The 23357-nt window shown below is 55.9% G+C and overlaps 2 protein-coding genes across 7 annotated transcripts, besides 12 other annotated features; both read right to left on the bottom strand.

The window, feature by feature from the left end:
• HAMP (hepcidin antimicrobial peptide) lies at nucleotides 6198-8813 on the bottom strand. The gene is made up of 3 exons (NM_021175.4): nucleotides 8674-8813; nucleotides 6493-6552; nucleotides 6198-6403 (listed from the first exon to the last, which is right to left on the bottom strand). The coding sequence occupies exons 1-3, from the start codon at nucleotides 8761-8763 to the stop codon at nucleotides 6299-6301; spliced, it is 255 nt and encodes an 84-aa protein (NP_066998.1). The 5' UTR covers nucleotides 8764-8813; the 3' UTR covers nucleotides 6198-6298.
• Nucleotides 8442-8951: an enhancer, noted in NCBI's record as "H3K4me1 hESC enhancer chr19:35773293-35773802 (GRCh37/hg19 assembly coordinates)". NCBI's record gives its function as "activates a minimal SCP1, AML or CMV promoter by ChIP-STARR-seq in naive H9 embryonic stem cells {active_cell/tissue: H9 hESC(naive)}" and the evidence as "EXISTENCE:reporter gene assay evidence [ECO:0000049][PMID:30033119]".
• Nucleotides 10338-10387: an enhancer, noted in NCBI's record as "active region_14464". NCBI's record gives its function as "activates an Ori minimal core promoter by ATAC-STARR-seq in GM12878 lymphoblastoid cells {active_cell/tissue: GM12878}" and the evidence as "EXISTENCE:reporter gene assay evidence [ECO:0000049][PMID:35858748]".
• Nucleotides 10478-10557: an enhancer, noted in NCBI's record as "active region_14463". NCBI's record gives its function as "activates an Ori minimal core promoter by ATAC-STARR-seq in GM12878 lymphoblastoid cells {active_cell/tissue: GM12878}" and the evidence as "EXISTENCE:reporter gene assay evidence [ECO:0000049][PMID:35858748]".
• Nucleotides 10648-11147: an enhancer, noted in NCBI's record as "H3K4me1 hESC enhancer chr19:35771097-35771596 (GRCh37/hg19 assembly coordinates)". NCBI's record gives its function as "activates a minimal SCP1, AML or CMV promoter by ChIP-STARR-seq in primed H9 embryonic stem cells {active_cell/tissue: H9 hESC(primed)}" and the evidence as "EXISTENCE:reporter gene assay evidence [ECO:0000049][PMID:30033119]".
• Nucleotides 10648-11319: a biological region, named in NCBI's record as "HNF4 motif-containing MPRA enhancer 344".
• Nucleotides 10820-11319: an enhancer, noted in NCBI's record as "500 bp enhancer 344 fragment used in low-throughput reporter constructs". NCBI's record gives its function as "activates both an SV40 promoter and a TATA-containing promoter in HepG2 cells {active_cell/tissue: HepG2}" and the evidence as "EXISTENCE:reporter gene assay evidence [ECO:0000049][PMID:23512712]".
• Nucleotides 10997-11141: an enhancer, noted in NCBI's record as "145 bp enhancer 344 fragment used in the MPRA reporter construct; PK_construct_1563". NCBI's record gives its function as "activates an SV40 promoter by MPRA in HepG2 cells {active_cell/tissue: HepG2}" and the evidence as "EXISTENCE:reporter gene assay evidence [ECO:0000049][PMID:23512712]".
• Nucleotides 11063-11076: a transcriptional cis regulatory region, noted in NCBI's record as "HNF4 motif; enhancer activity is lost when this motif is scrambled". NCBI's record gives its function as "necessary for full MPRA enhancer 344 activity {active_cell/tissue: HepG2}" and the evidence as "EXISTENCE:site-directed mutagenesis evidence [ECO:0005528][PMID:23512712]".
• Nucleotides 11520-22379, bottom strand: USF2 (upstream transcription factor 2, c-fos interacting). Of its 6 annotated transcripts, NM_003367.4 has the most exons (10): nucleotides 22178-22379; nucleotides 21849-21895; nucleotides 21642-21760; nucleotides 21338-21538; nucleotides 20744-20894; nucleotides 20536-20623; nucleotides 20200-20258; nucleotides 12549-12643; nucleotides 12267-12395; nucleotides 11520-12174 (listed from the first exon to the last, which is right to left on the bottom strand). In NM_003367.4, exons 1-10 carry the CDS (start codon nucleotides 22237-22239, stop codon nucleotides 12085-12087), a joined length of 1041 nt encoding a protein of 346 aa, NP_003358.1. In that variant the 5' UTR covers nucleotides 22240-22379; the 3' UTR covers nucleotides 11520-12084. The 6 variants fall into 6 exon arrangements, with proteins under 6 accessions (NP_003358.1, XP_005259254.1, NP_997174.1 ...); XM_005259197.5 differs by having other exon boundaries at nucleotides 11520-12395; NM_207291.3 differs by lacking the exon at nucleotides 21338-21538.
• Nucleotides 20284-21023: an enhancer, noted in NCBI's record as "H3K4me1 hESC enhancer chr19:35761221-35761960 (GRCh37/hg19 assembly coordinates)". NCBI's record gives its function as "activates a minimal SCP1, AML or CMV promoter by ChIP-STARR-seq in primed H9 embryonic stem cells {active_cell/tissue: H9 hESC(primed)}" and the evidence as "EXISTENCE:reporter gene assay evidence [ECO:0000049][PMID:30033119]".
• Nucleotides 21311-21630: a silencer, noted in NCBI's record as "silent region_10523". NCBI's record gives its function as "represses an Ori minimal core promoter by ATAC-STARR-seq in GM12878 lymphoblastoid cells {active_cell/tissue: GM12878}" and the evidence as "EXISTENCE:reporter gene assay evidence [ECO:0000049][PMID:35858748]".
• Nucleotides 21771-21960: a silencer, noted in NCBI's record as "silent region_10522". NCBI's record gives its function as "represses an Ori minimal core promoter by ATAC-STARR-seq in GM12878 lymphoblastoid cells {active_cell/tissue: GM12878}" and the evidence as "EXISTENCE:reporter gene assay evidence [ECO:0000049][PMID:35858748]".
• Nucleotides 23119-23268: a silencer, noted in NCBI's record as "silent region_10521". NCBI's record gives its function as "represses an Ori minimal core promoter by ATAC-STARR-seq in GM12878 lymphoblastoid cells {active_cell/tissue: GM12878}" and the evidence as "EXISTENCE:reporter gene assay evidence [ECO:0000049][PMID:35858748]".

The raw sequence follows: 23357 nt of genomic DNA, 5'->3' as shown, positions 1-23357 counted from the left end.
TCTGCCCGCCTCTGCCTCCCACTAACCCAGGAGCTCTCAGAGGCAGGGGCTCACCAGAAACCTATCTGCCTCTCTGTCTGTCATGTGCACCCTTCTGTCCCCGGGGCAGTGCTTGGTGCACATAGGACTGTGCTGACCAAGTTGGGCAAGGACCCTCTGAGTGCAGATTCCACCCCTTGGTCATGACTTTTGCAAGGTGGGTGGGGGCTCGGGGCAGCTGGAGGTGGCGTGACAAAGTGCAGCAGTGATTTCACCATGAGCTGTTCAGCCTCACTGGGACATCTCCTGTCCTCCTTCAGGCCAGAGCAGTGGGGAGGGGGGGTCCTCGCTCTCAAGGGAGAACCCAGGGGGTGAGGGGCGGGGAAATCCCTCAGACCAGGGAGAGAAGCGTTGTGGGGCTGGGGGGGAGTTGGAGGGGGAGGGGGAGTCCCACCCCCACCCCAGGCTTCATGATGTCAGACTCTGCCCGTGCCTTTCCCAGTCCGGGACAAAGGACCATTGAGAGTCGGGCGGGGCTTGAATGCCTGGGTCCTGGAGAAGAGAGGGGCCTGGTGCCTGGGCTTTGGTGGTGGTGGTCGGGGTGACAAGGAGATCCTGGGGGGTATTTGCATGTCACAGCCTTCAGCATCAACACCCACCTAGTTGGAGCTGGAGTCGTGTGCTGGTGCAGTGTGGGGCTCCATCTCCTCCCTGGGTGTGAACTGAAGGCTGTTGCTGGGGAGAGGACAGTGTCCCACAGGAGCACTCGCAATAGTCGCTGACATCAGCAACTCGGGTCTCCAGGAGACCTGTGGGAGCGAGGCGGCTGGAGCCCATGAGAGGAAGGGGCTGGGTGACAGGACCTGTGACTGGCGGGCAGGTGCCCTGTCTAAGGGGACAACTGACCCGCAGATCCAGTGGCCGGTGCTGCCGTATCAGCTGATCTTTTACGAGAGAGCAGGTGTATCAGTTTTCCAGGGCTGTTACAACAAAGTTTCACAAACTGGGTGGCTTAAAAACCGGAATTGAGGCCATGCACGGTGGCTCACACCTGTACTCCCAGTGCTTTGGGAGGCCAAGGCGGGCAGATCACGAGGTCAGGAGATCGAGACCATCATGGCTAACACGGTGAAACCCTGTCTCTACTAAAAATACAAAAAATTAGCCGGGCATGGTGGCAGGCGCCTGTAGTCCCAGCTACTCAGGAGGCTGAGGCAGGAGAATGGCGTGAACCCGGGAGGCGGGGCTGGCAGTGAGCGGAGATTGCGCCACTGCACTCCAGGCTGGGCAACAGAGCAAGACTCCGACTCAAACAAACAAACAAACAAACAAACAAAAAACCCTGCCAGAATTGAGCTTGAATTCCAAGATCAACAAGATCAAGTGCTGGCAGTGTTGGTTCCTTCTGAGGGGTGTGAGGATCTGTTCCGGGCCTTTCTCTGTATGGCATCTTCATCTTCACATTCCCTTCCCCCTGTATTCACCCCTGCCCAGATTTGCCGTTTATTTATTTATTTATTTATTTATTTATTTATTTATTTATGTTTGAGACATAGTATTGCTTTGTCATTTAGGCTGGAATGCAGTGGTGCAATCATACCTTACTGCCACCTCCACCCTCCAGATTCAAGCGACTCTCTTGCTTCAGCCTCTCAATAGTAACTGGGACTACTGGCACTTTTTTTTTTTTTTTTTTTTTTGCTAGAGACAGGGTCTCACTATATTGCCCAGGCTGGTCTTGAATTCCTGATCTCAAGCAGTCCTCCTGTGTTGGCCTCCCAAACTGCTGGGATTACAGGTGTGAGTCACTGTACCCTGTCAGATTTAGGAAACCAGTTATATTGGATTAGGATTCTCCCGTCTCATTTTAACTTGATTACCTCTGTGAAGACCCTGCCTCCAACTAAGGTCACATTCTGAGCTACTAGGCGTTAGGACTTCAATGTGAGTTTTGAATTCCTAGCAGCAGGAATTCAGAATGAAGCTCTCGGCCATGGGGAGCTCTCACTTAAAGCTTAAAGCTCTCATAGATGGGAGCTGAGGCTCAATCCATCCAAGAGCCTTTGCTGCCCTCAGACAATGGTGTCAGCTTCACAACCAGTCCTCCACAGGACTGCAGCTTGCTCAAAATGCAAGGTCAAGGGCCCCGCCTTGCACCTGTGGAATCAGAAATTCTGGAGGCCCAGCTATCTGCAGTTTATTTGTTTATTTGTTTTACAGACATCGTCTCACTGTGTCACCCAGGCTGCAGTGCAGTGGTGCCATCATAGGTCACTGCAGCCTTGAATTCCTGGCCTCAAGTAATCCTCCCGTCTCAGCCTCGTAAACCACTGGGATTATAGGCATGCTCCACCACGCCCAGCCTCATCTGCATTTTATTTTTATTTATTTAATTTTTTTTGAGACAGAGTCTCATTCTGTCACCCAGGCTAGAGTGCAGTGGCAAGGTCTCAGCTCACCTCAGCTTCTGCCTCCCAGGTTCAAGCAATTCTCGTGCCTCAACCTCCCGAGTAGCTGGGACTACACGTGTGCACCACCACACCCAGCTAATTTTTGTATTTTTAGTAGAGACGGGCTTTCACCATGTTGGCCAGGCTGGTCTCGAACTCCTGGCTTCAAGTGATCCTCCAGCCTCAGCTTCCTAAAGTGCTGGGATTACAGGCTTGAGCCACTGAGCCTGGACCCATCTGCATTTTTGCAGGCCCTCCAGGAGATTTTGAGCACGCTGAAATTTGAGTATCTCTGCTTTACATGTTCTCCCATCTCTCTAGGACCACCCCAGAGAACTGCTTGCTCAGGAGAGAAGAGCACCCCGTGTCATTAAGTGTAATTCCTGATTTCAGGTTTCCCACCTGCCAGGAGGGAGGCCTCTACCCTCTCCTGTCAATATGAATCCTTTACATTGAGGAAGCATTGGACAGTTTCCAAAGCAATTTCACACTCATTCCCTTGGTTGAGCAGCTCTAGAGCCAGTTAAGCTAAGTCCTGTATGGACTTAGCTTCTGTTCCTTTTTTGTTTTTTTTTTTTTTTTTTGAGATGGAGTCTTGTTCTGTCACCCAGGCTGGAGTGCAGTGGCATGATCTTGGTTCACTGCAACCTCTGCTTCCTGGGTTCAAGCGATTCTCCTGCCTCAGCCTCCAGAGTAGCTGAGATTATAGGTGTGCGCCAACACGCCTGGCTAATTTTTGTATTTTCAGTAGAGACGGGGTTTCACCATGTTGGTCAGGCTGGTCTCAAACTCCTGACCTCAGGTGATCCACCCGCCTTGGCCTCCCAAAGTGCTGGGATTACAGCGTGAGCCACCACGCCCAGTGCCTCTGTTCTTTTAAAGGTAAGGAGAGGCCAGGCATGGTGGCTCACAACTGTAGTCCCAGCATTTTGGGAGGCTGAAGTGGGAGGATCATTTGAAGCCATGAGTTTGAGACCCGCCTGGGCAACACAGCCAGATCCACGTCTCTACACAAAATACAAAACTTTAGCGGGGCGTGGTGATAGGCACCTGCGGTCCCAGCTACTCAGGAGGCAGAGGTGGGAGGATCGCTTGAGCCCGGGAGATCAAGACTGCAGTGAGCCATGATCACACCACTGCACTTCAGCCTGGGCTATGGAGCAAGACCCAGACTAAAAAAATAAAATAAAAAATACAGATGAGGAGGTGGAGCTCCGGATATGAAGAAGATGCATGCAAGATGTTACAGCTAATAAGAGGCCAAGCTCACCACAACTCCCCTCTCCCTATCCCTTCAGTTTTCATTCAGGAAACCTCCCCTCCCAGAGGACAAGCCTCTGTGGATTCCAAAGCGAAGGCAGACATTGATGGTGCCCCAGACTGATCTGGCGCCCAGCTGGGCTTCGTTTGGCTCACAGAATGTTGATGTTAAAAGACAAATTGCTTTGCTCAGTTGCCAATACTGTCAAAGCAAGAAATCTCTAATAAAAATAGGAATTCCCACCTTCTCTTGACAAAATCAGAAGTTCTAGTCAGGTTTACCTGCCTTGGGTGTGGCAGCCGTGTCTTGGAGCCCTCTCCCGCCCAGCCTGGGCCTTCCCACTCCCTGCCCACACCCAACATTGAGGCCGAATGACCAATGCCCTTTACCATCAAGTGAGAGCTGTTGCTTCCTGGGAGCTAAGAAGACAGTGAAATAACAGCCCCTATGTCTGTTTCTATCAAATGTGGGCAGGCCAGGCCCACCTGTAATCACAGCATTTTGAGTGGCTGAGGCGGGTGGATCACTTGAGGTTAGGCGTTTAAGACCAGCTTGGCCAACACGGTGAAACCCTGTCTCTACTAAAAATATGAAAATTAGCCAGGCATGGTGGCGGGCGCCTGTAGTTCCAGCTACTCAGGAGGCCAAGGCAGGAGAACCGCTTGAAACTGGGAGGTGGAGTTTGCAGTGAGCTGAGATCGCGCCACTGCACTCCAGCCTGGGCGACAGAGTGAGACCCTGTCTCAAAAATAAATAAATAAACAGTAAAAATATTTTCCCAGTTTCAGTTTCTAATACATCAGGCAACTAGAGATATAGCCCACTTTATCAAGAGCTTTTTGGAGTCCTCAATAATTTCTCAGAATGTAAAGGGGTCCTAAGACCAAAAGGTGTGAGGCCCATGGCCTTCAGAGGCCATCCAGGTATAGCAGATGAGCGAGGTATGGGGGATTGTTACACAGGAGCATCTTAAGTTGTATTCTCTCAGGAAGGACACACTTTGCACGTGAAACATATAGGAATATAGTTCACCTCCACAAGGAACTGAGTTCCTGCCCATTCTTCTTTTTTTTTTTTTCTGGAGACAGGGTCTCACTCCGTCGCCCAGGCTGGAGTGCAGCAGTGTTGTCTTGGCTCACTGTAACCTCCACCTCCAGGGTTCAAGTGATTCTCCTGACTCAGCCTCCTGACTAGCTGGGATTACAGGCACATGCCACCATGCCTGGCTAATTTTTGTAGAGACGGTGTTTCACCATGTTGGCCAGGCTGGTCTTGAACTCCTGACCTCAAGTGATCTGCCTGCCTCAGCCACCCAAAGTGCTGTAGGCATGAATCACCACCCCTGGCCCCTCCCATTCTTGAAAGCTGTATTGCTCTCATTTTCGTTGCCCCATTTTTTTTTTTTTTGACACCAGGTCTTCTTCTGGAACTCCCAGTCTTAAATTATCCTCCTGCCTCAGCCTCCCGAGTAGCAGGGATGGTGCAACTGCACCGGGCTAGAAACTGGGACATTTAAAAGCGTGAGATACACCAGCACACAATCCATTAGCCATCTGGTGATGATGCCAACAGGTGTCGCAGAGCCTCCTGGAAACTCCATTGTATACTCATGAGAGAACCAGGGTGAAAAAGGCAAATAAACATCTTTGTAGGCCGGGCGTGGTGGCTCACACCTGTAATCTCAGCACTTTGGGAGACTGAGACGGGTGGATCACTTGAGGTCAGGAGTTCGAGACCAGCCTGGACAACATGGCAAAACCCCACCTCTACTAAAAATACAAAAATTAGCCAGGTGTGGTGGCACGTGCCTGTAGTCCCAGCTATTCAGGAGGCTGAGGCAGGGGAATCGCTTGAACCTGGGAGGTGGAGGTTGCAGTGAGCCAAGATCATGCCACTGCCCTCCAGCCTGGGTGACACAGAGAGACTCTGCCTCAAAAAAAAAAAAAAAAGAAAGAAAAAAAAGGAAAAAAAAAGGAAAAAAAAAGTCTTAGTAGTTTCCACCTTCAGGAGCCCTACAAAAGGAGTCCCTGGATCTTACTTTGAGAACCTTTATAGCAGTGTCCAATGTTTTGGCTTCCCTGGGCCACACTGGAAGAATTGTCTTGGGCCACACATAAAACACACTAACACTAATGACAGCTGATGAGAAAAAAAAAAATTGCGGAAAAATCTCATAATGCCTTAAGAAACTACAAATTTGTGTTGGGTGCATTCAAAGCCATCCAGGGCTGCATGTGGCCTCCAGGTTGGACAAGCTTGCCTTACAGGCACTGATTTCTACAGCTGTTTTAGGAAGATCTCAAGGAGAGGAAACATTAACTTTCATCCCCTATTATTGCAACATGAAGGGGGAGAACAGAAACAAATTTTCTTCACCAACTTTCCTGGCAACCTCCAGGACACACCAGCCCCACATGACCCACCAAGCACTGGTGCTTGCAAGGCAGGGTCAGGACAAGCTCTTAGCACAGACACTCGGCAGAGAGAAAGGACAACAGACACTCTGGTTTGGAAAACAAAAGAACCAGCCATTTTATTCCAAGACCTATGTTCTGGGGCAGCAGGAATAAATAAGGAAGGGAGGGGACGGGGGCAGGGCAGGTAGGTTCTACGTCTTGCAGCACATCCCACACTTTGATCGATGACAGCAGCCGCAGCAGAAAATGCAGATGGGGAAGTGGGTGTCTCGCCTCCTTCGCCTCTGGAACATGGGCTGTGGGAAGGAAGGGAATGTGAGCAGGGAACCGGCCTTAGCATGGGGAGGGAGCAGGGGGCTAGGAAAGGCATCACTGTTGCGCTCACCATCCAGCTGGCCCTGGCTCCAGCTCTGTCCTGGGGTTGCAGCTCTGCAAGTTGTCCCGTCTGTGAAAGCAGAAGGGGGTGCAGAGGATGGCAGGGGGCCCAGTGGACCTCTGAGACTGGCTCCCGGCAACCTGCTCCTCTCCAAGTGGTTTAAACCCAGAGCTCAAATGGACTCTTAGGAGGGGCCTTGCTTTCTTGCTTCTGCTCACCTTCCCATGGGCGGCTTTTCCTAAAAAAAAAAACCTCCCAGATCCGCCTCCTCCTCTTTCCACAGCTGCTACTCTTCTTTGGGATATCACCTTCCCCTGCCTGGATGCCAGTGCCAGCCTCCTAACACACCTCCCTGCATTCTTGCCCCTCAATCCATTTGCCACACAGCAGAGTCACTTTTTTTGTTTGTTTTTTAGACAGAGTCTTCCTCTGTTGCCCAGGCCAGAGTGCAGTGGCACAGTCATAGCTCCCTGCAGCCTTGACCTCCTGTGCTCAAGCGATGCTCCCGCCTCAGCTTCCCGAGTAGCTGGGACAGCAGGTGCACGCCACCACACCCGGCTAATTTTTTAATTTTTTGTAGAGGTGGGGTCTGGTTGTGTTGCCCAAGCTGGTCTTGAACTCCTGGGCTCAACTGATCTTCCTACCTTGGCCTCCCAAAACTCTGGGATTACAGGTGTGAGCCATGGTGCCTGACTGGCAGATTAAGTTTTTTAAAACATGGCCAGTGAGATTGTGGTTTTCTCCATTTTAAAAACCTACAGGAGGCTGGGCGCAGTGGCTCACGCCTGTAATCCCAGCACTTTGGGAAGCCGAGGTGGGAGAATCACCTGAGGTCAGGAGTTCAAGACCAGTCTGGCCAACATGGTGAAACCCTGTCTCTACTAAAAAAACAAAAATTAGCCGGGCGTGGTGGCAGCCGCCTGTAATCCCAGCTGCTCGGGAAGCTGAGGCAGGAGAATTGCTTGAACCCGGGAGGCGGAGGTTGCAGTGAGCCCAGATGATGCCACTGCACACCAGCCTGAACGACAGAGCGAGACCCTATCTCAGAAAAAAAAAAAAAAGCTTATGGGGGCTTCCTCTTTATTCCAAGGAAAAATCAGTGTCTGCATGGTTGCCCACAAGACTTAGGGACTGCCCACCCCTCAGCCTTATCCCCAAGTCCCACCATCTCCTCTTGTTCAGCCTGACCCTGGGCTATGCTGGCTTGTCCTCTCCTTAGGTCTTTGCTGCCTCCATCTCTCACCCTCCAAGACGAAGGTCAACTGTCACTTTCTCATGAAACACTTGCTTGACTGCCAGCCCCTTGACCATGCCTGTGGTCCCCCAACCCGTGGCATGTGCCTGCTGTCCCAGCTACTTGGGACGCTGAGGTGGGAGGATTGCTTGAGCACAGGAGGTTGAGGCTGCAGTGAACTATGACTGCACCACTGCACTCCAGCCTCAGCAACAGAGGAAGACCCTGTCTCTAAAAAACAAACCAAAAAAGTGACTCTACTGTGTGGCGAATGGGTCACGGTCACTCTACCACTGTCTGTTATGAGATTCACGAATAGAATGTACTAGACACAATTATTTATTCATGTTTTCATCAGTCTTTAACAAATTCCCTGACCAGGATGGAGAAATCTCCTCTCTCATCTACCTTGTTCATGGCCTCGTCCCCACTGTCTAGAATAAGACTCCACACGGCGTAGGGGTTCCGTAAATACCCATGGAATTAGGACCTTCCAGTCCCTGTCACTCGGTGCTTCATTGATTTCTGTTCTTTTTTGGAGATGGAGTCTTGCTCTGTTGCCAGGCTGGAGTGCAGTGGTGCAATCTCAGCTCACTGTGCAACCTCCACCTTGCGGGTTCAAGCAATTCTCCTGCCTCAGTCTCCCGAGTAGCTGGGATTACAGGCACCTGCCACCAAGCCTGGCTAACTTTTGTATTTTTAGTAGAGACGGGGTTTTACCATGTTGGCCAGGCTGGTCTCAAACTGACCTCAAGTGGGCTGCCTGCCTCAACCTCCCAAAGTGCTGGGATTACAGGCATGAGCCACCGTGCCTGTCCTGGTTCCTGTTCAGCTGCCAGTACTCCTGAGACGTCCTGAGCTCTGCTCAGTGCTCGGGTGTCTCCAGTGCCCTAGGCTGAGGCCTGGCTCTCCCATCCCTGCTGCCCTGCTAAGGACCCAGGCCACTGGGCTCTCACCTGTTGTGGGAAAACAGAGCCACTGGTCAGGCTGGCGAGGAGGAGGAGGAGCAGGAGGCAAGCGGCCCAGATCTGGGAGCTCAGTGCCATCGTGCCGTCTGTCTGGCTGTCCCACTGCTGGGTCTTGAGCTTGCTCTGGTGTCTGGGACCGAGTGACAGTCGCTTTTATGGGGCCTGCCAGGGGAGGCGGTGGTCTGAGCCCCCTCCCCTTTGCTCTGTCTCATTTCCAAGAAGGTGGTGGCGCCGAAAAGGCGGGAGAGATAAGCGGGAACAGAGCGACAGGGAACAGGGTTGTGTCACCCTCAGCCGGCAGAGGTGTGTTCAGGGGGTGGGGCAGACGGGGTCACAGACACACACTGCTCACCAGCCATCTGGGGAGCCCTTTCCCCATCACGATGTCATTCTGCTGATCGGGAAAAAAGTTCCCCCTTTTGCTTCAGCGGTTAAGCAGTTTGATGAGCAGAATCAAGGTTCCGCTCTCCTCCACTCACTTCCCCATCGCCTACATGCACACGGGGCATGGCCAGCAGCCGCCAGGCTCCTCAGGAGTGTCTGGCATGTTGGGGGAAGCATCCATTGCTTTAAGCTCTCACCACACGTGCATAGGTTCTGGCAGGGAACACTAGATAGCCCTGAGCAGGGCAAGCATCAGCGTGTGCCCGATCCGCACGTGGTGTTTTCCCAGTGTCAGACCCTTGAGATGTGGCTCTGGTAACTGGAAAATGTTTGAGCAAACTTTTGGCCATAAATGACAGCAGTAATATGGCCCAGCACAGTGGCTTATGCCTGTAATCCCAGCAATTTGGGAGGCCAAGGCAGGAGGGTCGCTTGAGCCCAGAAGTTCAAGACTAGCCTGGGCAACATAGGGAGACCCCATCTCTACAAAAAAAATTTTAAACAAATTTAGCCAGGCGTGGTGGCACACATCTGTAGTCCCAGCTACTTGGGAGGCTGAGGCAGATCGCTTAAGCCCAGGAGGCTGAGGTTGCAGTGAGCTATGATTGTGTGACTGCACTCCAGCCTGGGTGACAGAGTGAGACCCTGTCTATAAAACATAAAATAGCAGTAATAGTAATAGCTAACATCTACAGTCCGATGAGTACATTTTATACGATGGCACATATGTTGACTCACTTCTGCACCAACTCAGCCTGTGCTGCCTGTTCTCCCAGCAGCACTTACTGCCCCACCTTCAGCTCTGCTCTGTATTCAGGGGCTGCCTTCTCAGTCACCCAACCCCAGAGGCCTGGGCTCCCCAGACCCTGCTCCCTTTTAGGAACCTCCTCCCCGTCGGACACTCATTTCCTTCACTTTACAGAAAAGGCACTGAAGGCAGAGATCAGGGCATGGCCCAAGCTTGCTCAGCCAGAGGCAGAGCTGAGATTCTAGCCTGGACAGCCTGACTCCAGGGCTTTTGCTCTTACCCACCAGGTTTCCCCATCTCCCCTAAAACACAGCAGGGCACAGCGGTATGCTAGACCTGGCTCAACATAGCAGACCATGCACATCTCGAAACTCTGCATTCAGTGGCATCATGCTGGTATCCTGAAATCAGCAGCAGTGGGAGTCTTGACACCCAGAAATTGGCAAGCACTACAAGCCAGGGATGTTTTTGGGGAGCCGGTTCCTTAGGACACCACTAGCTGGGGGATGAACCCAGGCTGCCTGACTGCAGTGCCTTCATTCCTTTCCACTACCAGGCCCAGCTCAGGGTGCACACGGCCCAGGGGATCAACAAACCTTGGTTCCAGATGGGCCCTTGCACATTTTGCCTCTTTGCCTTTTTCATTCCAGGGCCATCCAGTGTCAGCCAAGTCACCAGAGCCCGGGGATGTTGTTGTCGAGGAATGAACACTTCTTCCTGGTTGCTGAACCACTTTCAAGGCCCACTCAAGCACAGAAATGCACAGGCCCTGCCATCTGCCTCCTCATCCACACCACGTGGGAGGCTCCTCTTGTCACAGCCTGGGTAACAAAGCGAGACCCCATCTATACAAAAACTTGGCTGTGGTGCTACGCACCTGTAGTTGGTCAAGGCTGCAGTGAGCCGTGATTGTGTGCCACTGCACCCCAGCCTGGGTGAGAGTGAAACCCTGTCTCTAAAAACTAAATGAATAAAGATGGCCTCAGATGGGAATAGCTAGGAAAAGGAGACAGGGCTCTTGTGGGAAGAGACGAGTGCAGGGAGTGGGGGAATTGGGGAGGAAAGGCAGATGGAGCTCCACAAGGTGAGCAGAGTGGCAAGCCCAGCTCCTGGGAGTTGAAGGGTGCTGCAGGCTGAAGCAGGGCCCAGTGAATAGGGGTGTGCTCACCTGGGGAGACACAGGAGCAGCCCCCAGCCCTACCAGGCATCGCTGCATCTCAGCTGAGGACAGGTTTCATCATCAGCAGGGGCAGGGGTCACAGCACAGGCGCCAGAGCCTTGGTGCAAGGCGACAGGCTGACGGGCCAAGCTTGGCGCCCTGGCCATCTGCCCTCCCTGGGGGTGAGGGGCTCAAGGCCAGGCCCCACTATTGGCTGGTGCAGAGGGGAGGGCTTTGGCCCAGCAGGGCAGGGCCAGGGGCTGGTTGTGTTTTCAGGAACTGTTGACACGGAGACCCCTGCCTCTCCTCCAACATGGGACATGTCCTTGACCCCAGCTCCCCACACCCTCATGCACGTCTAGGGCCTCAAAGGGGACATTCATTCCTTAATTCCTCCATCCATCCAACCAACCACTGGGTAATGGGTGGTGCAGCTGGCAGGGACCATGCACAGCCATGTGCACAACAGCAGAACCATGCCTCGTGGAGCTCTGCAGACCCCAGGCCCCCTCCCCACTCCTGAGATGGACAAACACACAAGCAGACAAGGCGGGGGCCACATGGGGCCAGTTTATTGCAGTTAAATACCTCTCTCTCTATTTTTTTTTTGTCAATTTTTCCATAAAGAAAATTAAAACACACACACACACCCCCAAAGGGGAGCAGGGACCCAGAAACAAGAGGTGGGGTGGGACGTGGCCTCCCTGCATAGGTCCAGGCCCCGGGTGGCCCCCCAAAGGCTCCCCTCCTTCCCATCAGCACCCTGTCTCAGTACCTCCAGAGAGCAGGAGGCAGCGGGACGTGGCAGGGCCTCTGTCCCCTCCCTCTTGCCTCCAGGTGAGACCACTAGAAGTGCCGGGGCTTAGTGAGGGCCGGGAGAAGGGCGACAGACAGACGGATGGGCAGGGAGGATACCGTTTCCAAGTGGAGGAGGGCGGTGGGCACTGTATCCACAGAAATGCATTATTTCTCCCCGTTTTTTGTTAAAAATCTACTATAAAAAAACGCAGCTGGGGGAGGGGCATGTGTCCCTCTCTGTGCTAAGGGCTGGGGAAGGGGGCAGCAGAGGCCGGCGTGGGCGGCGGCGGCTGCGTGGTGGTGGCGGGCGTCACTGCCGGGTGCCCTCGCCCACCATCTCCAGGTTGTGCTGCTGCAGCTGGGCTCGAAGCAGGGCGTTCTCATTCTTCAGCTCCTCGATCTGGCGGACACGACGGAGGTCAAGGGAGCTGAGGGCCAGCGCCTTGCATCTGGGGCTCCTGGGCCCTGACCCGCTCCAGGCCCCGCACCCACCTGCTGCCTCAGGAGCTCGTTGTCCATCTGCAGCCGCTCGGCCTCTTTGAAGGTCTCCTGCATGCGCTGGTTGGTCTGGCGCAACTCCCGGATGTAATCGCAGGCCTTGGACAGGATCCCTCCTTTACTCTGGGGGGCGAGGGGACCAGGAGCCTTAGGGCAGGCACCGCCCACCGGCCTCCACCCCAGGGATGACTCCCGAGCCCCATGGCTGTTGGACTTTCTGCATGCAAGGGTCGGGGGCCGGGACCACCGCAGACACTGAGGGTCCGGGGTGCTCACCGCTCCCGTCTTGCTGTTGTCTGCGTTACAGTCTGGAATGATTTTCGAAAGCTGGACGATCCAGTTGTTGATCTTGTCCCTCCGCCTCCGCTCCACTGCGGAAAACAGAGTCACAGCCACGGCTTCGCTGACGGATCATGCCTGAGCGGCCGTCCTCACAGGGCAGAGGCTCAGCCCAAGGACACCCAGGAACAGTGCAGGCCCCACCGAGACCACAGCCCTGGGAAGTGAGGGGCCGCACCCTGAGCCCAGCCGGCCCCCACCCCAGCTTCTCAAGAGGAACAAAGAAACGTGGGCCCTCCAGTGCCACACATGCTTTTAGGACGGGCATCAAAGGCCAGGCACTTGGAGATCATTTTGCAGGCCTGCCCCACCATACTTGTACAAATTTTAATCGACAGTTAAAAATAAGGAAATTTCTCATGGTAATTGGCATCACTGGCTTCTTTTGAGAAATGGAGCTCTGGTCACAGTGGGCACATACTGGAAGGCAGGGATGGACAGAGCCACTCTTCGCAGGACCAGTGCCCCTTTTTGGCTCCTGCGGCCCCTGCACTGCATTCTCCAGTCTCCCCAGAGACTCTGGCACCGTGATTTTGTTTTTTTTCCTCATCTCTAAATCCAAGTCTGACCATGTTTCACCCCTGCTTAAAATCCTTCCACAGGGCAATGGCAGATCCCAACTGGTACTTGCAGCTCCCAGGGCCTGGCCCACAAAGCACCAGCTCACCCAGGAAAGACCCAAATCCTATGTTGAAGGCCAGAGATGGCAACTCATAGAAGGTTTTACTTAAAAAACCCAGATTTGTGATTTTACTCCATAAAACTCCACAATCTCATGCCAACTGTGTCAGCTGGGTGGCAGCTATCCCCAGACAGAGCACATGCCTTTCTCTGGCCACATCCCATCCTGACACCTGCCTGGGGACTGTGTGCTGCGGAGCCTGAGACCCCTGACTCAGGACCTGCTAAAGCCAGGCTGTCCCAACCCTGGCTGCCAAGCCCCAGCACCAGGCACCGTGGGGACAGGAAAGAACGCTCAGCTACCCCCAACTCCTACCCCACGGACCCCCAGCCCCCTGCCAGGGTGGCTCATGCTGTCTGCACCATTTGTGGAGGGGAACGAAGCCCTATAGCTAGGGCACATGTGGCAGGAAGGCCAGGGGGTCTTTTCAAAGCCTTGGATAATGGTGATGAAACCGGTCAGGGGTCCAGTGAGCCTGAGAAGGAGGGGTGGGCCACAGCCTGCCCGTTACCCTCACACCCCGAGATCGGCAGCTCCCCAGACCTGCCGTTCCCTTGAAAAGGCTGGGGCCCACCCACCAGCAAACCCCTCTGGCTTCTCTGGGCTGTGGCCGCATGCTGCTGACTGGCCTCTCCCTGCCTCCAGTGCCTCCCACTCAGGCCTGAGTGACAAACCCTCCGATGGATGCGGACTCTCCTTCTCCCACCGTGACCTCTCTTCCCTGGCCCCTTCCATCCTTGTGCTCCCTCTTTCCTCCAAAACCAATAGCCCAAGATCAGTGCTTGCTATGGAGCACGGTCCAGGCCCTGCACTGGGCTCAGCGAGTGCTTGCTCCCCTATTACTATCGCGGTGCGCTGAACCTTCCCACCAAAGACAACCACACCCGCCTTTGGGAACTCTGGCCAAAAGCAGCAGCGGAGCTGAGAGTCCAGGCCTGGAGGCACCGCTGGCGCAGTCCCCAGCAGAGCGCTCCTCGCCCAGGGGTCTGTGGAGGAACTCGGCAGGCGGCCTCGTTTCAGCCTCTGCCCTCCCACAGTCCTCTCGAGAGCTGGGCGCCGGCTGCAGGTACATCCTCTCCAGAGCAAGCTTACTTCTTACACACCTACTCCCCGCCCTACTATGTGCCAGGCCCTCCGCCAGGCTGGGGTCCAGGGTGGAAGCAGCCCCGGTGCGCCCCATGGGCACTCGCAGCACCACTGTGGGCAAGTGGCACTAACCCCATTGCATTCGTGTCATCACTGAAGATGGTACAAAGTGCCTCGGGAACGCCAGGCGCCGAGCCATGGCCTCTGCATGGGAATGGGGGTGGGATGAATCCTCAGAGATCCAGGAAACATTCGGGCTGGTTTCTGAGAGAAAGACTCTAAGGCAGGCAGCTGGGAAGATCCCAGAAATGGTGGCCTGAAAACCATTTCAGGGTATGCAGGGGTGGGAAAAGGTTGTAAAGATCGGTTGTCAAGGCCTTGTGTGCTCTGCTCGCAGGTCAGGACCGCATCTCCTCCTCCTCCAGAGTCCCAGGCCCTTGAATCCAGGCCCTGACATTAGCAGGCGGTAATGCTGTCCAGCCTGTGGCTTCGGAAGACCATCATGGCACATTTGAAATACAGGAAGACCCATTAGGACCAAGGCCACGTTCATTCCACAGAAGCACTTCAGTTACTCCATAGGAAACTTAAAATTCAGAAGCTGGGTGGGGTGGCTCACGCCTGTAATCCCAGCACTTTGGGAGGGTGGATCACATGAGGCCAGGAGTTTGAGACCAGCCTGGCCAACATGGCGAAACCCCGGCTCTACTAAAAATGCAAAAATTAGCCAGGCATAGCAGTGCATGCCTATAATCCCAGCGACTTGGGAGGCTGAAGCACGAGAATTGCTTGAACCCAAGAGGTGGAGGTTGTAGTGAGCCGAGACCACATCATTGCACACCAGCTTGGGTGACAGAGCGAGACTCTGTCTCAAAAAAAAAAAAAAAAAAAAGAGAAAATTCAGAAGCGAAACCTGCCAGGACTGAAGGAAGAAATGGACAAATCCACAAATATAGTGAGAGACATGGACATCTTTCTCATTGATTGGTGGAACAAGTAAACAACAACAACAAAAATCAGAATAGAAAGCCTGAACACTCAACCAGCCTGACCTCACTGACCTGGGGGGACATTCTGCCTGACAGCAGCAGACACCTGTCCTCGTCAATGCCCCAGAAGCTTCCGCCAAGCTAGGACACATTCGGGCCCGTCGGGTAAGTCTCATCGAATTTCAAGGAACTGAAATCATACAGAGTATGTTCTCTGACCATAACAGAACTAAATTAAAAATCAATAACAAAAAGATATCTGAAAAACCCACAAATATTTGGAAATTAAGCAACCTGCCTCCAAATAACAGAAAGGTCAAAGAAGAAATCACAAGGAAAATTGGAAAACACTTTAAACTGAATGATAACAAAAACAACATATCCCAGTGGGATGTAGCTAAAGTGATGCTGGAGTGAACTGGCAACTCTAAATGTTGTTAAGCAAAGAGAAAGGTTAAGAATCATCTCAATCCCTGCTGTGAAACATTAATCCTGTAAAATAAAGATTTTAGTAGAAAATTGGAAAAAAAAAAAAAAAAAGAATTACCTTAAAAAGCTGGGGTTGGGGTGTGCCAGGGAAGCTAAAGCATGAAACCTAGCAAATTGAATCCAAAGTGAGTAGAAGGGGCCGGGTGCAGTGGCTCACTCCTGTAATCCCAGCACTTTGGGAGGCTGAGGCAGGTGGATAACCTGAGGCCAGGAGTTCGAGACCAGCCTGGCCAACATGGTGAAACCCCGTCTCTACCAAAAATACAAAAACTAGCTAGGTGTGGCAGCGGGCACCTGTAGTCCCAGCTACTTGGGAGACTGAGGCAGGAGAATCACTTGAACCGGGGAGGCAGAGGTTGTAGTAAGCTGAGATTGCGCCACTGTGACAGAGCGAGATTCCATCTCAAAACAAAACAACAAACAAACAAAAAACCAAGTGAGTAGAAGCATGAATTAGTAACATTAAGAGTAGAAATCAATGAAACGGAAAAAGCAATCTAATCTGGCACCTAAAAATCAGATTTCACATAAGTCTCGATTTCTAGCTTCTCAGAGTTTCTGGCAACAGTGGCCCTAGATTCTGACAGGGCAGCAAGGGGAAGGCACTGGGCAAGGGCCACCCTTCAGGCAGCGCACACATGCCCCAGATCACTGGGGGCCCCCCACAACCTTTCCTATCTTTTTCTGACACAAGGTCTGGGTCTGTTGCTCAGGCTGGAGGGTAATCTCAGCTCACTGCAACCTCTGTCTCCCGGACTCAAGCCATCTTCCCACCACAGGTTCCCAAGTAGCTGGGACTGTTACAGGCATGTACCACCAGGCCTGGCTAATTTTTAATTTTTTTGGTAGAGACAGGGTTTTGTCACATTGCCTAGGATGGTCTCAAACTCCTGGGCTCAAGTGATCCGTCCGTCTTGGCCAAAATGTAATCCCAAAAGTGCTGGGATTCCGGGCGGGAGCCACCACACCCAGCCACACACCCCTTCCTGAGATGCCAAGTGCACCTCCCTCCCTCAGGCCCCTGCAGGCATTTGAGTCTGTGACTCTGGGATAAGCTCCTGCAGTACCAAGAAGTGGTGGGAAGGAGGGAAAAAGAAGTGAGAGAAGCGGATCTGAAATCACCACAGAAGAGAAACTTGGGGTTTGTGGCCATAAGGGAAGAAGAGGGCAGAGTTGAAAGCGGCTCTGGTCTTAGTTTCTGGCTTGGGCAGCTGTGACAGGGGTAGCTTTTGCTGCTCTGCAAAGAAGAAGGTTGCATGAAAGCCTTTGGAGACGGGAGATGGCACATTCTCTTTTGGGCGAGTTGAGTTTGAGGCATTACAGGGATGTCCAGAGACAGAAATCTCGAATAGGTAGTTCAAAACGTGGGGCTGGAGTTGCAGTGAAAGGAAGGGAATGGATGGAAACACAGTTCCTTGCATTACCAGGAGCCAGGTGGTGGGCGAAGCCTGGGAGGACATCAAGGAACAGTCCTCAACTTTTTGTGAGTCACACACTCTTCTGCAGCAAAGAAAAAAGAGGAACACCTACAAGGGGGAACAGAGTTTGGGGGATACTGACCAAGAGCTTCCGAGCCCATCGCTGGGCCTCACAAGTCATACACCTGAGGCCGACGGGAGGGGCCGGACCTTATGAAACACCAGCAAGACTGGGTGTGGCAGCTCAGGCCTGTAGCCGAGGCCGGAGGACTGCCTGAGGCCAGAAGTTCAAGACGAGCCTGGGCAGCATAGCAAGACCTCCACTCTACAGATAAAAAAAAATTACCCCATGTGATGACGCCTGCCTGTGGTCCCAGCCACTCAGAAGCCTGAGGTGTGAGGATCGCTTGAGCCTGGGAGGTCAAGGCTGCAGTGAGCTGTGATTGTGCCACTGTACTCCAGCCTGGGTGACAGAGTGAGACCCCCTTCTCAAAAAAAAAGAAACACTCGCAGCCAAAGCAGTTTCTCAAGCTTGTCCACTATGACAAATCACCTGAAGAGCTGATGGAAAACACAGATTCCCCGGCACCCCCATCTACTCACTTGGAACTGGGACAGCCCTGGAAATTTCACTGTTAACAGTGGGGTAGGAAAGGCAAAGATCACAGGAGAATCAGAGAGGATGGAGGAGAAAGGAAGATTCCAGAAAGGAACAGAGGGAAACAGGCAGCATCAGATGCTTGGAGCCCAGACAGCAAAGGAGGCCAGTGGATGTGGCAATGGGGTCACCACGGGTGACCGGAAGTGGAGCTGTTTTGGTAGAGCCATGAGCCAGATGGCTGAGGGTACTGGGAGGATGAGCAGATTGGGGCAGATGCTCTGCAAGTCAGGAAAGCGGAGACAGGACGGAGCTGGAGAAGTGGGCAGGTGATGAAGACTGCTTCACAGGGTGAGAAAGTTTCAAGGCTGCCTGGAGTCAGATTAACTAAGGGAGAGGCGGGGGTGAGAGTGGGGTGGGAGGGTTCTGAGTCCTCTCTTCGCCTTACTGTGTGGCCACCAAGACTCACTGCATCCCCACCAGGTGCCCGGGGCGGCTGTGCTTCCACCATTTCACAGAGGGAAGACAGGTACGGAGATTAAGAACCACCCTGACGCCCCACCACAGGTAAGTCGTGGGGCTGGGGCTGCTCTGGGGGCCCCTCAAACTCACTGCATCTCAAAACCAAGCTCAGATGCACCCCTTCCCTTCCAAGCATGGAGGGGAGTTCAGCACGAAACCCTTATTCTCCAGCCTTGGAGTCCTCCCCACATTTCCCCCAACCCCTGCCCTGTCTCAGGCCTGACAGTCGTATGGTCTCCTACCTCCCAGCCCCTTCCCACCACTCTTGCCAACAGCCTCCACAACCCAAACCCCTCTGCTGGCTTCTCATCACCCTGGAATAAAACCACAGGAGCCCAGACAGCCACACTGGGGACTTCTTCCAAGGTCCTCCACCATCTGGCCTGGGCAGCCCCCTCCACTGCGCCAACTTCCTCTTTCCTTTCCTGAATTCTGCTCTTCTGCAGACACACCATGGCGGCCCTGGCTCAGGGCCTGGCCTGTGTTCTAGCTCTTCCCTCTGCCCGGGACTCTCCTGAGGTTCTCAACAGGCCCCTTCCCTCAGGTCGCTTCAGGGATCTGCTTCAATGTCACCTCTCGAAGAGCCCTTCAGAGCACACTACCATGCCGCCATCACCCGCCACCTTCTTCCCCAGCTTTCCTCTCCTGCCTGTGACTGCCTGCACTGCCTGATGCGGCTGTGTGACTCCCATCTCTCCCACCAGAACGCGCACAGAGAGCTGAGACCTTGTCTGTCCTATCATCTGCTGCATTGCCATATCTGAGGACGCAAAAGGGGGGCTGGTCGTAGTATGCACGCGCTGAATGAACGCCTGAACTCAGGGAGGAGCTGCTCAGAACACAACTACCTGGGCCACAGACCCCAGTCCCATCACCACCTTTAGGACTCAGCATTCAGCCCCTCACTCGGGCATTCGAGGCCTTCCCGATCTTCCCTCCTGAGGCATTCTAAATGGAACTTCTCCCACAACCAAACCAGCACCCCACAAAGTAACCTGACCCACACTCCCCTCTCCCTAGGGAAGCGTCACCCCAGCCCACCCCCCATCAATGTCCCATGAGACCCATGAGACATAAGCCCTCAGGCCTTTGAGCCTCCCTGACGCTCCAGGCCAGACTCCAGACCTGGCACAGGGCCTGTGCCGCTCAGCCCAGAACCCACGGGCAGTAAATATTTGTTGAATGATGGTTGTTTGGGTGTAAGCACTCTCCTGGCACTTGCACAGTGCTGTGCCCACTGCAGTGGCTACTGACAGGCGGGGCGGGACAGTGCTGAAGGCCAAATGACCTGAGGTGAGACCTGGTGTTTCTGGAAAGGGCAGGATGCTCCGGCCTTAGGTAGCCAGAGGCAGAACTTCATGCAGTTTCTCCCTCAGATGTGCTCCCTGGGGGAACAGACCTACTTCTGGAGGCCAGGCAGGCATGGGAGTGCGGGATGTGAGCATGACAGCTGCCACGTGGAAAGGTCAGCCCACGTGAGCCCGGTCAGCCCCATTTTTCAAGTGGGGCAGGCAATCCGTATGGGAGTGTGAAGTCCACCATCTTAGATGTGGGCCATGAATTCAAGATCACCAGCCGGGTCAACAAATGGCCAGTTCCAATTCACACTCCCTGTCCCTCTACTTCTGACACTGTACTCTCCCCTCGTTGCTCACTTTCTACCTTTACAGCGTCCAGCAAAGCCCTCTGGAGCACTTGTGGCCTGCCCAGGAGTGGCTTCTCTCTCTGTCACTCCACACTCCAGGGCTGGCTGAGCCTGTGAGGGTGGTGGTCAGGGGGACCCGGAGCCACACCTTGTCCTCACCTTCGTTGTGCTGGGCTCTTCTCCTCTCATCTCGGGGTGTTCTGGTTCCATCAATTTTTCTACAAGAGGAGGAAAAAAAAAGGGGGCATGTATTATCGCAGAGCTGTTTGCCCAAGCATCTGCTAAGTATTAGATTTGAAAATTATCTTTGCAAGGTAAATCCATCTGCAAAAACAAAAGACATGATACTTTATGTGCACTAGAGCAGCAGAAACAGGCAAAGAAAAAAAACATTACACCATGTGCCCACTTCATGCTAACTGCCCAGCTTCTACTCCAGAAACCCCTCTTCCTTCCATTTCAACACCAGGCCCTCCAGGTGTCCCCTGCACATACGGAGAGTAAGGGTGTGTCCGGGGGGCGATCGTCCTCTGTGTTCCTGTCTGAAGCACATCCTGGGGCGTCATCATGACGTAGAACTGGCCTGCAGGGAGAGTGGGGGGTTAGTGGCAAGGCAGGGTGAAGTCAGAACTGGCTGGGGGGGCTTCCCTCCCTGCTGGGCCCGTTGCCTCCCCCACCTGCCAATCTGACTTCTACTCCTCACCTCCAGCCTGCAAGCTCTGGTCTGTGGTCTGTACGGACACAGCCGTAGTATCTCCCACACTGGACGCTGGGAAATAGGCAAATCGTGCCTCCCCGCTGACAGCCTCGGCCGCCGGACTGCCACCATTGCTGAAGGGATTTTGGATCACAGCCTGGGGAGTAGGAGGGCAGAGGCTACCCTTAGCTTTCTCTGTTCCTCCATCCCGTCCCCTCATTGCTGTGCTTGGGGTTTACTGCATTCTCTGCAATTAACAGGAGTGGGGACTCCTTCTGCGTGTAGCATTCTGTCCTGTGTTTCAAACAGCCCTGGAACATGGCGGGAGGTCAGCGATCACTTGCTGAGCAAATCCGTTTCGCACTCTAAGAAACTTTCCTCTTAAGACACATCATTCCCATTTTGCGGGAAAAAAAAATTCCAAGAGCACTGTCCCCAGGTTTCACGGTGCACAACAGGGATCTGGCCCCATGCAGCCTGAGGCCTGAAGGCAGCATCCGCTGGGCGACACCTGCCCCACCCCCGGGGCTCCCCAAGAGCAGAGCCAGTGTCCCCTCTCCACTCCCTCCCCCCCCCACCCAGGGGTGGCAGGGCACCTACCAGCGGGAAGGGCGCTGCAGGACCTGGGGGCACAGAGGCAGCGGCGGGGCCCGGGCGCTGGGCTGCCCCGTCCACACCCACCTGGGTCACAGCCTGCTGCCCCCCCGCGAAGGCAGCGGTGGACACGACGCTGACGGCGCCAGCTGTGTCGCCCTGGCCGTCCAGCTGACCATCAGTCACCTGGACTACGCGGTATGTCACCTGCAGGGGGCGGCAGAGCGGCGAGGCCGGCGCTGGGGCCAGGTCCGAGCCTTCCCGGCGCGCCCGCCCGCCCGCCCGTTCGCCCTCGCGGCCCGCCGCTCACCTGTCCTCCATTTGTCTCTGTGCGGAACTGGTACTGGATGTTGTGGTCGCCGAACGCCGCCTGCTGGACGCTGGTGATGGCCACCGCTGTCTGCTCCTCCGCTCCTGGGCCGTCCCCGCCTGGGGCCGAGGAGGGTCGGGGCACGGTCAGGGCCGCGCCGAGCGCCCCCAGCCCTCCCCGGGCGCGGCCGGCCCGGCAAGCACTCACCTTCCTGCAGCTCGACGCCCTCCTCCGCCTCGGGTCCCTTGTCGTGGCTGCCAGGGGCACAGGAGGGAGCAGGGTCAGCGCGGCCCGCGCCCGCGCCCCCGCCCCCGCGCCCAGCTGCAGGGCCCCAGTCCCACCCGGCCGCGCCTGAGGCCGGGGGCGCCGCCGAGGCCGGGGGCCGGGGGCGGGAGGCGCCAGGTCCCCCCCGCGCCGGCGGCCTCCATTTTGAGCCGGGCCCGCGGCCGCTCGGGATCATGGCGGCCCCGGCCTGCAGGCCGCGGGGCCGGGGCCGGGGCCGGGGCGCGGGGGCACGGCCGGGCCGGGGATCTTACCTGGCGGCGGCAGCAGCGGTGGCCGAGGCAGCGGGATCCAGACCCGGGTCCAGCATGTCCATGGGGGGGGCGGGGGCGGGGGGGGCGCGGGGCCCGGGGGGGAGGGGAGGGGAGGGGAGGGAGGGAGGGGAGGGGGCGGGCGGCCGGGGGGGCCCCGAGCCCGGCGCTCACGCCGCGCGGCAGGAGGGGACGGAGGAGATACGGGAGCCGCTCGCGCTGATCACGGGGACAAACAGTGGGGTCATGTGAGGAGGAGATGCCGCCGCCGCCGCCGCAGCCGCCGCCGCTCCTGCAGCCGCTGCAGCCGCCGCCGCCTCCGCCTCCGCCCGCCCGCCGGCTCCGGGCGGCCCGAGGCTCCGGGACGCCGCGCGGCCGCCCCCAGCCCACCCAGCTGCCCGCCCGCTGCACGCGGCCCTCAGGCCTCCTTCCCTGAGCAGCCGCCGCCGCCGCGACTTTTTTTTTTGAACACGGCCCGCCCTGGCTGGCCGCCGCCAGTGCCCTGGATCGCCGGCTCGCGCGGCCGCCGCCCGGCTTGGCCCAGTCCGGCGGCGGATCGCTGCTGCAGCCGCCGCCGCTTTCTATTTTTCCCCCTTTTTTTTTTCCTCCTTTACTTGAGCTGCGCGCGCGCGGCGGCGGCGGCGGCGGCGGCGCGAGCCCCGGGGCGGACGCGCGCTGGGGGGAGGCGGCCCGGGGCGCGCGCGCTGGTCTGTCTCCGGGGGCGGGCGGGCGCGCGCGAGCCCGGGGCTCCGCGGGGCGCGAGGTCGCCGCGCGCCGCCCTGGTGAAACGCGGGTCTGGATGGAACGTCGGGGTACCCGGTGCAGGGGCTGGGGTCGTCGGGGGCCAGGTGGGCTGCCCGAGTTTGGAGACAGTAAAGTAGGTCGGTGGGGGGCTGGGGGGGATGGGCTGGAAGGGGAGAGGAGCGCGCGCGCGTCCCGGACGGCCAGCCTGCGGTGCGCGAAGGCGGAGGGCCGGGGCGCATGCGCACGCCTGGGCGGGGCCGGGGCGCGCACGCAGGCGGGCGGCGGCTGCGCGGGGCACGTTCTCCGGCCGGCGGCGCGGGCGCGGGCCGGGCCAGGCTGGGTCTCTTCCTCCCGGCCCCGGACTCCGGTGCCCCCGGGACGCGGCGCTTTACAGACGCATACGGGAGCAGCCCCGGTCCCCCGCCCCGCGCGGCCGAAC

Source organism: Homo sapiens, chromosome 19 (genome assembly GCF_000001405.40).
Source record: "Homo sapiens chromosome 19, GRCh38.p14 Primary Assembly".
Classification (NCBI taxonomy): domain Eukaryota; kingdom Metazoa; phylum Chordata; class Mammalia; order Primates; family Hominidae; genus Homo; species Homo sapiens.
Note: the sequence above shows the minus strand (reverse complement) of the source record. Positions and strands in the feature narration are given on the sequence as shown.

Bases quoted from the DNA above. Each gene is read 5' to 3' on its own strand.
- HAMP (NM_021175.4), bottom strand. From the start codon at position 8,763: ATGGCACTGAGCTCCCAGATCTGGGCCGCTTGCCTCCTGCTCCTCCTC. The intron at 6,553-8,673 runs GTGAGAGCCCAG...CTGCTTTCACAG, and splicing joins GCTCTGTTTTCCCACAACAG to ACGGGACAACTTGCAGAGCT. The intron at 6,404-6,492 runs GTGAGCGCAACA...TCCTTCCCACAG, and splicing joins GAGCCAGGGCCAGCTGGATG to CCCATGTTCCAGAGGCGAAG.
- USF2 (XM_005259197.5), bottom strand. From the start codon at position 22,239: ATGGACATGCTGGACCCGGGTCTGGATCCCGCTGCCTCGGCCACCGCT. The intron at 21,896-22,177 runs GTAAGATCCCCG...TGCCCCTGGCAG, and splicing joins ACCGCTGCTGCCGCCGCCAG to CCACGACAAGGGACCCGAGG. The intron at 21,539-21,641 runs GTGAGCGGCGGG...CGCCCCCTGCAG, and splicing joins CAGAGACAAATGGAGGACAG to GTGACATACCGCGTAGTCCA.